The sequence below is a fragment of the Homo sapiens genome, chromosome 11 (assembly GCF_000001405.40).
Source record: "Homo sapiens chromosome 11, GRCh38.p14 Primary Assembly".
In the NCBI taxonomy this organism is placed as follows: domain Eukaryota; kingdom Metazoa; phylum Chordata; class Mammalia; order Primates; family Hominidae; genus Homo; species Homo sapiens.
This window is the reverse complement of record NC_000011.10, coordinates 67,823,687-67,839,088: the sequence shown is the minus strand read 5'-3', so window position 1 is coordinate 67,839,088 and position 15,402 is coordinate 67,823,687. Positions and strand designations below refer to the sequence as shown.

General features: G+C 47.0%; 1 protein-coding gene and 1 pseudogene across 1 annotated transcript in view, besides 2 other annotated features; both read left to right on the top strand.

Annotated features, from left to right (window-relative positions):
• LOC112268076 (translation initiation factor IF-2-like) overlaps positions 1–15,402 on the top strand; it is a 154,152-nt gene that overhangs the window by 127,072 nt on the left and 11,678 nt on the right. The gene's annotated exons all lie outside the window — the stretch shown is intronic.
• Positions 1–15,402, top strand: part of ENPP7P7 (ectonucleotide pyrophosphatase/phosphodiesterase 7 pseudogene 7) — a 60,830-nt pseudogene that overhangs the window by 34,283 nt on the left and 11,145 nt on the right.
• Positions 12,085–12,593: an enhancer, noted in NCBI's record as "H3K4me1 hESC enhancer chr11:67593967-67594475 (GRCh37/hg19 assembly coordinates)". NCBI's record gives its function as "activates a minimal SCP1, AML or CMV promoter by ChIP-STARR-seq in naive H9 embryonic stem cells {active_cell/tissue: H9 hESC(naive)}" and the evidence as "EXISTENCE:reporter gene assay evidence [ECO:0000049][PMID:30033119]".
• Positions 12,594–13,102: an enhancer, noted in NCBI's record as "H3K4me1 hESC enhancer chr11:67593458-67593966 (GRCh37/hg19 assembly coordinates)". NCBI's record gives its function as "activates a minimal SCP1, AML or CMV promoter by ChIP-STARR-seq in primed H9 embryonic stem cells {active_cell/tissue: H9 hESC(primed)}" and the evidence as "EXISTENCE:reporter gene assay evidence [ECO:0000049][PMID:30033119]".

Here is a 15,402-nt window from a genome sequence, read left to right as displayed (position 1 = left end):
GGCTACATAATCCCTGTGGTGAGATAACTAACAATGGGTACAACTGGGACAGTTTACTGTTAAATCACCTCTATCTACATGTGCCCAAGCAGTGAGATACTTGGTTTTAATCCTAAAAAATCATGGTGCACATTTACTCCTGCCTCCCAACTGGGCTCTAACGTCACCCCCTCAGAGAAGCTTGCTTTTCTGTGCTTCCACTCTACTTTTTTTCAGCATTTAGTAGAGCATCAGTAACCATCCATATCTGGGAACAAAGATTGTAAGCAACAGAAGCCCATTTGCATGAGCTTGAGGACAAGGAGAACACCTTGTCTCTAACAGGCAAACTCATGGGCACAAGAAACAAATGAGAGGCCATGAGAGAATGGAAACTGCAGTTACAGAAACCAAAATTCCTCTTTCTTGCTCTCAGAAGCCCATGGTCTCTTTTTTTTTTTTTTTTGTGAGATGCAGTCTCACTCTGTCGCCCAGGCTGGAGTGCAGTGGTGCAATCTCAGCTCACTGTAAGCTCCACCTGTTGGGGTTCACGCCATTCTCCTGCCTCAGCCTCCCAATTAGCTGAGGCTACAGACACCCACCACCACACCCAGCTAATTTTTGTATTTTTAGTAGAGATGGGGTTTCACTGTGTGAGCCAGGATGGTCTCGATCTCCTGACCTCGTGATCCGACCATCCTAGCCTCTCAAAGTGCTGGGATTACAGGCGTGAACCACCGCACCCGGAAGCCCATGGTCTTTCTTACCAGCCCTGTGGACTTTCTTATCTCTGCTTCTCTCACTCACAACCAATTTTCCCTTTTTGCTGGTGGCCCATCATGGCAGCCAGCAGAGCCCACCACCAGCTGATCAGTCAGTTACTGGATATCTTGGAGAGGGAGGGAGGGAGGGAGGGAAGAGAGGGAGAGGGAGAGAGAGAGAATGACAATTGGGCTTCTGGCCAACCAATTGAGTATAGGGAGGGGAGTACCACGGTACAAATATGGCACCAAGACCTGTTTTCCAGCATGGCCAGTGAGTAGGGAAATTGAGGGAAGGTACCTGCAAACACAGCAGACATCTCAGAACACGCTCTCTGTTCTTAGTTCTCTCTCCTGCCTTCTCCTAGATTGTAAATATCACAAGACAATCTAGGATAGTACCTGGCTCAAAATATTTGAGAAAGAGAAAAAGGAAGGCATTGGATCAAACTGTGGACTTCATGGTTTCCTAAATTCACTCTGCAAGTTTTTGTTTTTTGAGACAGAGTCTCACTCTGCTGCCCAAGCTGGAGTGCAATGGCATAATCTTGGCTCACTGCAACCTCCACCTCCCAGGTTCAAGCAAATCCCCTGCCTCAGCCTCCTGAGTAGCTGGGATTAAAGGCACGCACAGCTACACAAGTTAATTTTTGTATTTTTAGTAGAGACAGGGTTGGCCAGGCTGGTCTCGAACTCTTGACCTCGTGATCCACCCACCTCGGGTGCCCAAAGTGCTGGCATTACAGGCATGAGCCACTGTGCCCGGCCGCACCCAGGTACTTTTTGTATTTTTTGTACAGATGGTGTTTCACCATGTTGATCTAGGCTGGTCTCAAACTCCTGACCTCAGGTGATCCGCCCGCCTTGGCATCCCAAAATACAAGGATTACAGGCATGAGCCACCACACCCTGCCTATTTTCCTTACGTTTCAGAGAACCTTTGTGTCCCCTGGGTGTTCTAGCCCAGTATATGTCAAACTTTGCTGCACCAAGGACCTTGTTGAAATGCAGGTTCTCATCTGGGAGGCTCAGTGGGCCAGCAAATCTGCATTGGTTTAGGAAGCTCACCCTGAGTATCAAGCTTCAGTAAGGACCAGGCAGACCCCTGCCTGCCAACCCCCTCTCAGGTGGGCTTAACTCTGGCTCTCTCCTGCCAGCGTTCCTCCCCTCGAAATAGGAGATATTTTCAAAAATTCTCTTGGAAAAAAAGCCCTGTTTTAAGATTGGGGTGTTCAGGATTGGCCATCTGCTCACCATGGGGTTTTAAGACCTTTGCCCATACCTCTGCAACCAACTTAGAACTGACATCTTTATTTTGAAGGCCCCACTCCACACCATATTAAATTCATTAAAATCAATCCCCATTACAGGCATATCTCAGGCATCATGCCCTCAGAATGGAGTTGCAGCTGATCACTTGACAATGTTGTAAAGCATTAAACATGCATTCAGTTCAGCCTTGCAGTTTACACATTTGGGAGCCAATTGTCTTAGGTCTAAAGCATTCATGCCGAAGCATTTTTATGGGCCCCACACACTATGCTTCCCAGCCTTCATGGCCTCTGCAATGCTGGTTCCTACTGCCCCACCCCTGGGTTCTGGCCGGCTAGCCCATGCCACCTCACTGCTCCCCCATTCAAGTGTGCCTTCGATGTGTGGTTTCCAAACTCATCTACACTTTAGGGTCACCTGGGATTTTTTTAAATCTTCCAAAACCCAGGCCACACCCAAGAACAATTAAACCTCAACCTCTGGAATGGGAAATGGCATCCGTTTTTTGTTTTGTTTTTGAGACAGGTCCTCGCTCTGTTACCCAGGCTGGAGTACAGTGGCACAATCATAGCTCACGACAGCCTCCAACTCCTGGGCTCAAGAAACCCTCCCACTTCAACCTCCACGGTAGCTGGGATCACAGGTGGGCACCACAACGCCTGGTTAATTTTTAAATTTTTTGTAGAGACATTATCTCCCTATGTTCTCCAGGCAGGTCTCAAACTCCTGGGCTCAAGCGATACTGCCGCCTCAGCCTGCCAAACTGCTGGTATTATAGGCATGAGCCACCATGCCTGGACATCAGCATCTGTATTTTTTGAAGCACAAACGAGTTTGGGAACTACCGCGCTAGACTGAGCTCGGTTTCCTAGCCCTGTCTGACCGTAGGATTTGGCTGGGCTGCTTCTGAAAACAGAGCTCCCCAGGCTCCTTCCCAGGTAATTCTGATTCATTAGGTCTGGGGTGGGCCCCGGAATGTGCATTTTTTATGAGATCCCTCTGGGTGAATCAGGCTAAAGCCAATTTGGGATCTGAGACCTTGGAGATCATTCCCCAGCTTCTCTCCTAACCCAGTTCCCAGCTTGGCCCACCTCACCCAGGCTGTGTCACGTCTGACTTCGCAGATTACACCTGAGAGGGAAGCCCCAGCCATCATGATGTGAGAACATTTTACAATGACGAGGATATGCCAAATACATTTTAAAACTCATTCAGGATTAGCGTTCACCTTAAACTTGACAGACTCTGAGAACGGGCTGGCCACGTGCTGTGCACAACCCTTAGTGCTCTTCTGAGAGTAATATTTGGTTGGAAGCTCAGGAAGCCTCTCTCAGAGGGTTGAAGTTAACTTCTTTATTTCTGAGGTAGGGAAGAAAATGAGGATGTTCTGCCTTTTGCTAGACTGAATACTGTCCTCCAAAAATTCACATTCACCAGGAATCCCAGAATGTGACCTTATTAGAAAATAGGGGCAGGGCACGGTGGCTCATGCTTGTAATCTTAGCACTTTGGGAGGCTGAGGCAGGAGGATCACTTGAGGTCAGGAGTTCGAGACCAGCCTGGCAAGCATGACAAAACGCTGTCTCTACTAAAAACACAAAAATTAGCTAGGCATGGGGGCGTGCACATGTAATCCCAGCTACTTCGGAGGCTGAGGCTGAAGAATCACTTGAACCCAGGAGGCAGAGTTGCAGCGAGCTGAGACTGTGTCACTGAACTCCAGCCTGGGCAACAGAGCAAGACTCCATCTCAAAAAAAAGAAAATAGGGTCACTGCAGATCTAATTACAAAGAGGTCATATTGGAATAGCGTGGACCTTAAATCGAGTAATAATGGCATTCCTGATGGGGAGAGGAGACAGAGACACACAGGGGAGAAGGTCACATGAGAATGAAGGAAGAGAATGGAATGATGTGGCCACAAGCCAAGGATTGCCAGCAACAACCAGAAGCCAGAAGAGGCAAGGAAGGACTCATCCCTAGAGCCTTCAGAGGGAGCACGGCCCTGCCGTTTCAGACATCAAGCTTCTGGAACTGGAGAGAATGACTTTCTGTTGTCCTGAGCCACCCATTTGGGGAACTTTGTTAGAACAGTCACAGCCAGGTCATGTGCTCCTGAATGCATCTCAGGCATTAATAAGCACTGTCTTGGCCAGTCAGGGTGGCTCACCTCTGTAATTCCAGCACTTTGGGAGGCTGAGGTGGGTAGATCACCTGAGGTCAGGAGTTCGAGACCAGCCTGACCAACATGGAGAAACCCCATCTCTACTAAAAATACAAAAATTAGCTGGGCGTGGTGTTGTGCACCTGTAATCCCAGCTACTTGGGAGGCTGAGGCAAGAGAATCACTTGAACCCTGGAGGCAGAGGTTGCAGTGAGCCGAGATTGTGCCATTGTACTCCAGCCTGGGCAACAAGAGCGAAACTCCGTCTCAAAAAAAATAATAAGTACTGTCTTCACTGTGGTCATCAAAAATATTTGATTAAGGGTTAGCTAGAAAGCCTGACCCTTTCACAGATGGACGGAAGGGCCAAAAGAAAATAGATTGTTTGCAGTGGGGCAAGAAGGATAAGAATCCTATGGAAAAAAAAGAGGGATTTGTTTAGTGAGTGCTGGGGAAAGGCATTTGTTTTCTTGCTTAAAAAAGAAACACAGGTTGGGTGCGGTGGCTCAAGCCTTAATCCCAGCACTGTGGGAGGCCAATGTGGGTGGGTCACCTAAGGTCAGGAGTTCGAGACCAGCCTGGCCAACACCATGAAACCCCATCTCTACTAAAAAGACAAAAACAAAAGAAAGAAAGAAATTAGCCAGGCATGGTGGTGAGCGCCTGTAATCCCAGCTACTTGGGTGGCTGAGACAGAGAATCACTTGAACCTGGGAGGCAGAGGTTGCAGTAAGCCAAGATGGCATCATTGCGCTCCAGCCTAGGCAACAAGAGTGAAACTCTGTCTCAACCCAAAAAAAGAAAGAAGGAAAAAAATCATAGTTTTAAGTCCACTCAGTGGAGTTTAAAAATACATTCTCGTTGCACAGTGCTTTTGGAATCTTTTCTAAACTTCTGTTGCACATGATCTAATTTGATCTTCATAGCAACTCCCTGAGGTGGATAGGGCAGGCCTTTCTGAACACCTATTTTCTAGTTTGCATTAAAAGAACGGAATTGGCTGGGACCAGTGGCTCATGCCTATAATCCCAACACTTTGTGATACAGAAGGGAAGTGCTCAGAAGGGAAGAATGTGGTCCCTTTAAATGATATGGAAGTGAGGAAAGGAAGCAATGGGTAGAGGAGGGTGTGGTCCCTGGCTAGGGCTCCACTCCAGGGCCTGTGCCCACGGACCTAGGTGAGGACAGGCATTTTTGTTTTCCTGCCCAAATGTTGCATTTCCCAAGACCACCCTGGCTGCCACACCCCCATTCTATGCCTATAAAAACCCTGAGACCCTAGCAGGCAGACACATAGGCGGCTGGATTTCGAGAGGAGCACATCAGCGGAGGAACACAAGGGTGCTGGACGTCAAGAGGAACGCACCAATGGGCACCGACACACCGCAGGCCACTGACTGGCAGAACAACGCAGAGTTTGGCTGGGACAGTCAGAGAAGAGTCAGGCCACTCACCCGACTCCAGGGGTAAACCATCTCCCTTCTGGCTCCCCCATCTGCTGAGAGATACTTCCACTCAATAAAACCTTACACTCTCACGCCAGTAATCCCAGCACTTTGGGAGGCTGAGGCGAGCAGATCACGAGGTCAGGAGATCCAGACCATACTGGCTAACACAGTGAAACCCTATCTCTACTAAAAATACAAAAAAATTAGCCAGGCGTGGTGGTGGGTGCCTGTAGTCCCAGCTACTTGGGAGGCTGAGGCAGGAGAATGGCGTCAACCCAGGAGGCGGAGCTTGCAGTGAGCTGAGATCGCACCACGTCCGGTATACCAAGGCAAGAACCCCGGGACAAAGAGAGCCTTCTGTCCTTGCAATAAGGCGGGGGTCTAATTGAGCTGACTAACACAAGCTACCTACAGACGGCTAAACTAAAAGAGCACCCTGTAACACATGCCCACTGGGGCTTCAACTATAAACATTCACCCCTGGACACTGCCGTGGGGCTCCCTGCCTGTCTGCATGCTCCCCTAGAGGTTTGAACAGTGGGGCACTGAATAAATGAACCACACCCGCATCGCATGCCCTTCGAGGGGGACAACGGAACTTTTTCCATTTCATCTGAGAGGCCAAGGCAGGAGGATCGCTTGAGCCCATGAGTTTGAGACCAGCCTACACAACATAGCAAGACCCCATCTCTACAAAAAAAAAAATAAGTAAACAAAAAAAAAGCATTAAAAATTAGCCAGCTGTGGTGGCACACACCTGTAGTCTCAGCTACTCAGGAGGCTGATGTGGAAGGATTGATTGAGCCCAGGAGATTGAGGCTGCAGTGAGCCAAGATTGAACCACTGCACTCCAGCCTGGGCGACAGAGTGACACCCTGTTTCGACAACAACAAAAAGAATGGAACAAAATAACTTCTCAAATAGCTAGCAGAGGCAGATCTGGTTCTCAAATGCAGCTTTTCCAGGTTTCAATTCTTGTTTCTAGCAGTAATATGGAGAAACATGATCACTAATACATGAAGGAGAGGAGGTTTCAAGTTCTGATGAAAAGATGGTAAAGAGAGGAGTTAGTTGACTAGGAGTGACTAGGAATAGGAAGAAAACGCATGACACTACTTAGAGGAAAGAAGAAAAATAAGCATAGAGGTGACTGAGCGGACAGAAAGGACTTGGAAGAAGCGTGTTTGGCCCTGTCTCTAAATTTTTTCCCTTGCATTAGTAACTTCCCTGATGACTTGGATGAATCTTCTCTTCCAGAGTACCCAGTGTTCCCTTTCTGTCCACTTCTCCTTTCCCAGGGCCCATACAGTCTGGGAAAGCATGCTCTGCAGGCTTCTCATATCTTTCCTTCCTTAATCATACCCTAGCATCTCTACATAACCCATATACACCTGGAGTTCCACATGTCCCATCTTTGCACTGCAGTGAATTCAAAGAATAGTAGACTCTAGCTGGGCGCAGGGGCTCACACCTGTAATCCCAGCAATTTGGGAGGCTGAGGCAGGTGGATCACTTGAGCCTAGGAGTTCAAGAGCAGGCCTGGCCAACATGGTGAAACCCCATCTCTACTAAAAATACAAAAATTAGCTGGGCTTGGTGGTACATGCCCTGTAGTCCCAGCTTCTGGGGAGGCTGAGGCAGAAGAATTGCTGGAACCCAGGAGGCAGAGGTTGCAGTGAGCTGAGATCATGCCACTGCACTCCAGCAGCCTGGGCAACAGAGCAAGGCCCAGTCTGAAAAAAAAACAAAGACAAAACTAAACCAAAAAAAAACCAAAAAACAAAAAACGCACACACACACAAAAACAAAGGTAGACTCCAATAGGAAAAATTCACTCAAAAGCAATTCAAATAATTATTCAGTCAACCCAGTTCTATCTCAGTTCTTTATTATATATATAAACTTATTCTGTCCAGATGCCCTAGTTTTCTTTTTCTTATCTTTTTTGTTTTCTTTTGAGACAGGACCTCACTCTGTCACCCAGGCTGGAGTATAGTGGCACAATCATGGCTCACTGCAGCCTCAACCTCCTGGGCTGAAGTAGTTCTCCCACCTCAGCCTCCCAAGTAACTGGGACTACAGGTGCATGCCACCATGCTCAGCAACTTTTTGTATTTTTTGTAGAAACGGGGTCTCACTATGTGGGCCAGGCTGGTCTTGAACTCCTGGACTCAAGAAGTCCACCTGCCTCAACCTCCCAAAGTGCCAAGATTACAAGCATGAGCCACTGCATCTGGTTGATTCCATAGTTTTCTTTTTCTCTTTGCCCATTGCCTGGATTCCATAAGCAGAAGGAAAACCCAGGGGCTGACTTTGTAGGCAAGACTCTTTCCTCTTCAAAACGTAAATTGGCTCAAGTGGTACCAAAACTGAAACATGTTTATAACTTAACATCTTTTCTTCCTACCCCTTCAATCTCTTGAGCAATGAGAAAAGGCACTGGGCTCTTTATTTGTGTAGGGAAAAGAAAGAGAGATCAGACTGTCACTGTGTCTATGTAGAAAGGGAAGACATAAGAGAATCCATTTTGAAAAAGACCTGTACTCTAACAATTGCTTTGCTGAGATGTTGTTCATTTGTAGCTTTGCCCCAGCCACTTTGCCCCAACCACTTTGACCCAACTTGGAGTTCACAAAAACATGTGTTGTATAAAATCAAGGTTTAAGGGATCTAGGGCTGTGCAGGACGTGCCTTGTTAACCAAATGTTTACAAGCAGTATACTTCGTAAAAGTCATTGCCATTCTCTAGTCACAATAAACCAGGGGCACAATGCACCGTGGAAAGCCACAGGGAGCCCTGCCCTTGAAAGAAGGGTATTTTCCAAGGTTTCCCCCCATGTGATAGTCTGAGATATGGCCTCGTGGGATGAGAAAGACCTGACTGTCCCCCAGCCTGACACCTGTAAAGGGTCTGTGCTGAGGCGGATTAGTAAAAGAGGAAAGCCTCTTGCAGTTGAGATGGAGGAAGGCCACTGTCTCCTGCTTGCCCCTGGGAATTGAATGTCTCGGTGTAAACCCGATTGTACATTTGTTCAAGTCTGAGCTAGGAGAAAAGCTGCCCTGTGGCGGGAGGTGAGACATGTTGCAGCAATGCTGCCTCGTTATTCTTTACTCCACTGCGATGTTTGGGTGGAGAGAAACATAAATCTGGCCTACGTGCAAGTCCAGTCATAGTACCTTCCCTTGAACTTAAGTATGATACAGATTCTTTTGCTCACATGTTTTTTATTGACCTTCTCCTTATTATCACCCTGCTCTCCTATTACATTCCTTTTTGCTGAAATAATGAAAATCATAATCAATAAAAACTGAGGGAACTCAGAGGCCAGTGCCCGTGCAAGTCCTGGTCTGCTGAGTGCCGGTCCCCTGGACCCACTGTTGTTTCCCTGTACTTTGTCTCTGTGTCTTATTTCTTTTCTCCATCTCTCATCCCACCCGACTAGAAATACCCACAGGTGTGGAGGGGCAGGCCACCCCTTCAATTTGGTGACAAATAGCCTGTGGCCTCAAGGAACACTGACACCCCGGTAACATCCATTCGAAGAGCTTCTCCATACCTCCCCTCCTTTATCCCCAAGTTCTCTGGGTCAGAGATCACTGAGTCATTCACAACATGATGTTTAACACCGAGATGCTCTGGAATTGCTCCTTCAAGACGACTCAGAAGAAGACCCAGTGCTGAGACAATCGTGTTCTCTCTCTCTCTGGATCACCGCCCAGAGACAAGGACTGCCAGAGACCCTGGCTTCCCCAGCTGCTGCCTCCCATTCCTGCACCTGTGGGATGAGAGTTCGAAGCTGTGTGACTTTGACCAAGTTACTTACCCTCTCTAAGCATATGTTTCCCTAAATGTGAAATAGGGATGATGGTGATGTGTTTATTTCACAGATTTGATAGAAGGATTAAATGAGAGATGCATCAAAAGCAGTGGGCACAGGGTCAATGCTCAGTGAGCTTTCTCTTTTCTTATCAATAGACAGGTCTCCATGAGGACAGAGACTGGCTTCATCTAGACTGTAGCCTCAGGGCTGGCCACAGTGTCTGTACCCAGCAGGACTTCAGTAAATATCTGTTTATACACTAACCACAGACTTAGGCATAAAAGCCCTTTGGAAGAAAGTTGACCATTTCATGCACCTTCAGACTATGAAGAGCAGTGATGACAACTTTAGCTCGAGAGGGTCTCAGTGCCCATTCATCACCACTGTGAAAAGGCAGAAACCAGAGCTGTGTGTTTAACTCCCAGCCCCAAAACCTGTTGGCTTTGCTTTATCACTATGAACTTCCAATGCCATCCCTTTAGAATGGGACCTCTCTCTTCTTCCCCAAGGCACCAGCCTTCACCCCAGACCTCTCCTTATTAGCTGGTTCCTCCTGTCTGTACTCTGAGCCCATGCTGTGCTCATCAGATAGCAACATGGGAGAAAACAGCAGCCCAGAATGCAGGCTGCAGAGTTAGATCCCCAGAACAGGATCTCAGCCAGCTCCATCCTTCCTCAGCTGGGTGACCATGGCCATTGACCTCCTTTCTGTGCCTCAGTTGCTCCATCTGTGAAATGACGATTGTCATAGTCCCTGCTTCAAAGAGTCACTGGGAGGATTAACTGAGAAAATGCAGGGAAGGTGCTTGGAACTAAATGCTCAAAAAAAGTGCATCTGGCCAGGCACGGTGTCTCACGCCTGTAATCCCAGCACTTCGGGAGACCGAGCCAGGTGGATCACTTGAGGTCAGGAATTCAAGAGCAGCCTGGTCAACATGGCAAAACCCCGACTCTACTAAAAATACAAAAATTAGCCAGGCATGGTGGCAGGCACCTGTAATCCCAACTACTTGAGAGGCTGAGGCATGAGAATCTCTTGAACCTGGGAGGCAGAGGTTGCAGTGAGCCGAGATGGTGCCACTGCACTCCAGCCTGGGCAACAAGAGCAAAACTCTGTCTCAAAAAAAAAAAAAAAAAAGTCCATCATTCTTATTAATGGAGGACAAATCATCTCAGTGCTTCTTTGGCTGATCAGTACCCTCAAAGCTAGTGTTATCCAATAGACCAGAGGTTCCCAACCCCCAGACCACAGACCAGTAGTGGTCTGTGGCCTGTTAGGAACTGGGCTGCACAGAAGGAGGTGAGCAGTGAGCTAATGAGTGAAGCTTCATCTGTATTTACAGCTGATCCCCCTGGCTGAGCTCTGTCTCCTATCAGATCAGCAGTGGCATTAGATTCTGATAGGAGCACCAACCCTATTGTAAACTGCATGTGGAAGGGATCTAGGTTGTGTGCTCCTTATGAGAATCTAATGCCTGATGATCTGTCACCGTCTCCCACCACCCGGAGATGGGATTATCTAGTTGCAGGAAAACAAGCTCAGGGCTCCCACTGATTCTACATTATGGTGAGTTGTATAAGGATTTCATTATATATTATAATGTTCATAACAATAGAAATAAAGTACACAGTAAATGTAACACACTTGAATCATACTGAAACTTCCCCCCACAAATACATGGAAACTGGTCTTTGGTGCTAAAAAAAAAATTGGGGGTCACTGCAATAGACTATTCAGTCATGGTCCAATCAAACATTCTGCAATGGCGGGCTTGCTCTACTCTGCACTGTCCAACATGGGAGCTGCTAGCCACCCACATGGGCTGTTGAGCCCTTGAAATGTGGCTGGTGAGAATGAAGAACTGAATTTTCAATTTTCTCTTAACTATTTTTTTTTTTTTTCAGACAGAGTCTCACTCTATCCTCCAGGCTGGAGTGCAGTGGTGCAATCTCGTCTCACTGCAACCTCCATCTCCGGGGTTCAAGCAATTCTCCTGCCTCAGCCTCCTGAGTAGCCAGGATTACAGGAACCCGCCATCATGCCCGGCTAATTTTTGTATTTTTGTAGAGACGAGATTTCACCATGTTGGCCAGGCTGATCTTGAACGCCTGACCTCAGGTGATCTGCCCAACTTGGCCTCCCAAAATGCTGGGATTACAGGTGTGTCACCATGCCCGGCCTTAATTCATTTCTAAATCACAAAATCTAAACAAGTGGATAGGAGCTACCATAGTGTACAAGGCAGCTGTAGAATCACAGGAAATTGTCAATGACCCTGTCCTGCTTCAAGTTGACTTTTCCCCCTCATGGTGACACTCTAGATTCTTTCCTCTTCTCTCACATTTTTTAGGTTTTCAGGCTTAAACCATGAAAAGAAGTTCTGTCCTTCCAAGAAAATAACGTTCATAATACCTACTGTATACCAGGCTGATTTCAGTGCTTTACATGTATTAATTTACAACAACTCTGAGGCAGGAGCTGTGATTATGCCCGTTTAACAGATGACAAAACTGAGGCACAAAGTGGTGCTGGAACTTCTCAAAGTCACACAGGTTGCAGGAGGCAGAACTCGGATTTGAACTCACTTTGGGTTCAGCAACTCACAGCTCTCACCTATGACATAATATTACTTCGGTGGTCAAAACACTTAGACCTGGATTTCACAGGAATCTTGTGCTTGCCTGGCTGCTAGGGAGGTTTTCATCATCTTCCTTATCTCACAGTTCAAAACCCAGGGCCTCTCCATGCTCTTGCTGTGGTGGCCGTTCACTGGCAGGAGGCTTCTGGGAAGGTTCTCCTTTTCTGTCATTTTTCTTGTTCGTGTTTTTTTGTCTCATTGGTGTTTATCTGCAGAATTTTGTTTCCTTCTGCTCAATTCATAATCAGAGTGCTTTTCCTCTTGGCTGAATTCATAAGTGTTTATGCAAAAAGAGGTTGGGCACAGAGCCAGGCGACTGACGACACCCGGCTCGTCTGGCAAGTGGATATCAAATTGTTGTATCTCGTTCTGCCATTCACAGCTCCTGCTGTGGGGCTGGGCCATCTGCCAGCTCTGCAAGGAGCTGGCGGGAAACCGCTGCAATCAGAGCGAACCCACGGCCCGGGTCAGCCCGCCTCGGCACAGCACTCCAGCTGGCCCCCAGTGCCTTATGGGGACACATCTGCATAGCCAGACAGGGCTGTGGGAGGGCCGCCTGCCTCCTGTCCATCACAAGAAAACCTACCCTTGTCCTGCGTCCCTTCCAGGCAGCCTATGTGGAGATTGCTGCATTCACCTTTAATATGGCTAAAATTTTTCCTTCAATGACAGTAATGCTGCTAGAACCCATCAAGATACCCAGGGACTGATGTCCCTTGGCAGATGACGCTGGAAAGAAGGGATTCCCGGCAGCCTTTGCATCCCTTGCTTACAGCCCACGAGCGCCTCCACCGTCCAGCAAGGCTTCTCTCACGGTCAGGGCAGAAAGAGAGAGAGTCTATCTGGAACAGGCTCCGATTTTAAATGAGTGTCCCCGATAATTCAACATGATCGATGGCTGAGGTATTTCACCAAGTTCAGGAGTCCCAGTTCTCAGAGAGAGGCAGCCAGCCATGACTGTAAGACCTGGGCAAACCATACAAACGAGAGGGCAGGTCTCACCCCTCCCCAGAGAGCTCCAGAGAGTATCAAAGAGTGAACCAGCAGAGGGATGGTCTGGGTGGGGTCATCGTGGCAGGCAAGGGTCTGTGACAGCACCTTGTTAGGCTACCCCCAAGAGGAAATTTGGAGAGAGGGTGGGAGGGCAGCTCTCAGTGCAAGCCAAGTCTCCTGGAAAATCACTTTCAAACTTTGGAGGATTGTGAGCAAGATGGGACCAGCAACTTCTACCTAAAAGATTGTTAATAGCAAGATAACTCATCCTAATGTTGGTCCAAGCTAGGTCTTTATTATGCATCATAAAGGCTCTGAGAATAACAATGTAACCTCCAAAAGGGCTGCTGGCTTTGAGGAATCTCAGGCAACTCGCTTCCTTCTGCTCAGTGACTCCCCTGGAGCACAGCAAAGCAAGGAAACACTTAGAGCGAAGCTTGAGTTCTGAATTTCAAACATCTCTTTCTACCCAATTGTTCCCTAGAATCAGTAACTAACTCCTTCCCCTTAACGGCACGTACTTCCTACCAAAGCACAAGCGCGATGGGCTGTCCATGAGCCTCCCCCAAACATGTGTACCTTGTGACATAAATTCTGTCAGCCAAAGAGACCAGACAAAATGCAAAACCAAAGTGGAGCCTTTCCTTGAATTATAGGTTCTAAAGAGTTTTGGACTCTCTGCAAAACCCAACAGTTAGGAATTGCCTGTAAGAAGCACCAGCCCTTGTTTTAAGGAGGCAATTTAAGAATAATAGCCATGCTGATGCCACACTACGCTAAGGGAGAATAATGAACCTAATAAAACTAGCGCTTTTCCAATTGCTTTTGCTGCTGGAAACACTGATTATGCTAATTAAAGGGTAGAATAGTAAATACCCACTCTTTTGCATCCAATTAAGTGTTCAGATTATTTCTCAGAAGTGTTTGTTGAAAATAGCACTTCTGATAATCATGGGTCCCACATAAACAGTCAATTGTGGTGTGGTACATGTGTGAGAGTGTGTGTGTGTGTGTGTGTGTGTGTATGTGCACACATGTGTCTTTCTGGAGCTCATTTTATGGAGATCCCGCATAGCTCCCCAAATTCCTATGAGACCAAATAAGAAAAATCACAGTTTCCTAAGACTACAGCTTGGGATATCTTTGGAAAAGGTGTGTATTGAGAACACAGCATACGGAAACTATTTCACATTGGCAATATCTGTGATTTAACATTGCAAACATCAGAAATACAACTGGTTCTTCAGAACCACCTAAGTCCCTCATAATGGCAATATTAGCTTCTTCTAAATAATAAATTAGCCAGTCAAACTATGTTCTACAGCATGTTAGAAGTTTCATCCTTCTAGTCAAAGTCACATTTCAAGGCAAAGTCGATTTATATGTAAGTTAACAGAAGTGCTGTCACTAAAAATTGAGAATTATGACTAATGCCAATCAGAAATGGAATAAATCAGTATTAGAGGATTTGCAAGTGAAAGCAACCAAAGAAATGCTATTATCAGGAAGGAAAATGTATTACCTGCAGAGGTTACAGATAAGACGCTAGAACCCAGAAGAGAAAGAATCTCTGTAAATATTTCCATTAAGTTAATCAAGAGTGGCTGGTTACGGTGGCTCATGCCTGTAATCCCAGGACTTTGGGAGGCCAAAGCGGGCAGATCACGAGGTCAGGAGTTCGAGACCAGCCTGGCCAACATGGTGAAACCCTGTCTGTATTAAAAATACAAAAAATTAGCTGGTCGTGGTGGTGTGCACCTGTAATCCCAGCTACCCGGGAGGCTGAGGCAGGAGAATTGCTTTAATCCAAAAGGCAGAGGTTGCATCGAGCCGAGATCGCACCATTGTACTCCAGCCTGGGTGACAGATCATGGCTCCATTTTGAAAAAAAAAAAAAAAGAAAGAAAGAAAGTTAATCAGGAGTGAGAATAGGATGAGCTTTTCACCCACAAAAGGAGATGAGATTCACGCATTCTTTCAACATGCATTCCATCAATAGTGAGCAACTGCTCTGAGCTAGGCCCGTTCTAGGTCCCAGGAAATGGGTAACCAACCAGACATGGCCCCTGATTTGGAGTTCACATTTTAAAGCAGCTAAATGGGCAGTAAAGAAGTAAGCAAATTAAGATCATCTTAAATTGGGGGAAGTTCTTTAGAGAAGCACTTCCACAAAGCTGAATCGCATCATTGACTATGACTGCCAGGTGGTAGGGAAGGTAATATCTCACCTGCCTGTGGATAGCAGAGCTTCTGAGGCCTTGCAAAGTATCTAGTACTAAGATATCTGTCTTAGGTCAAGTTCCCTAAAAACAGAGCCTGAGGCAGG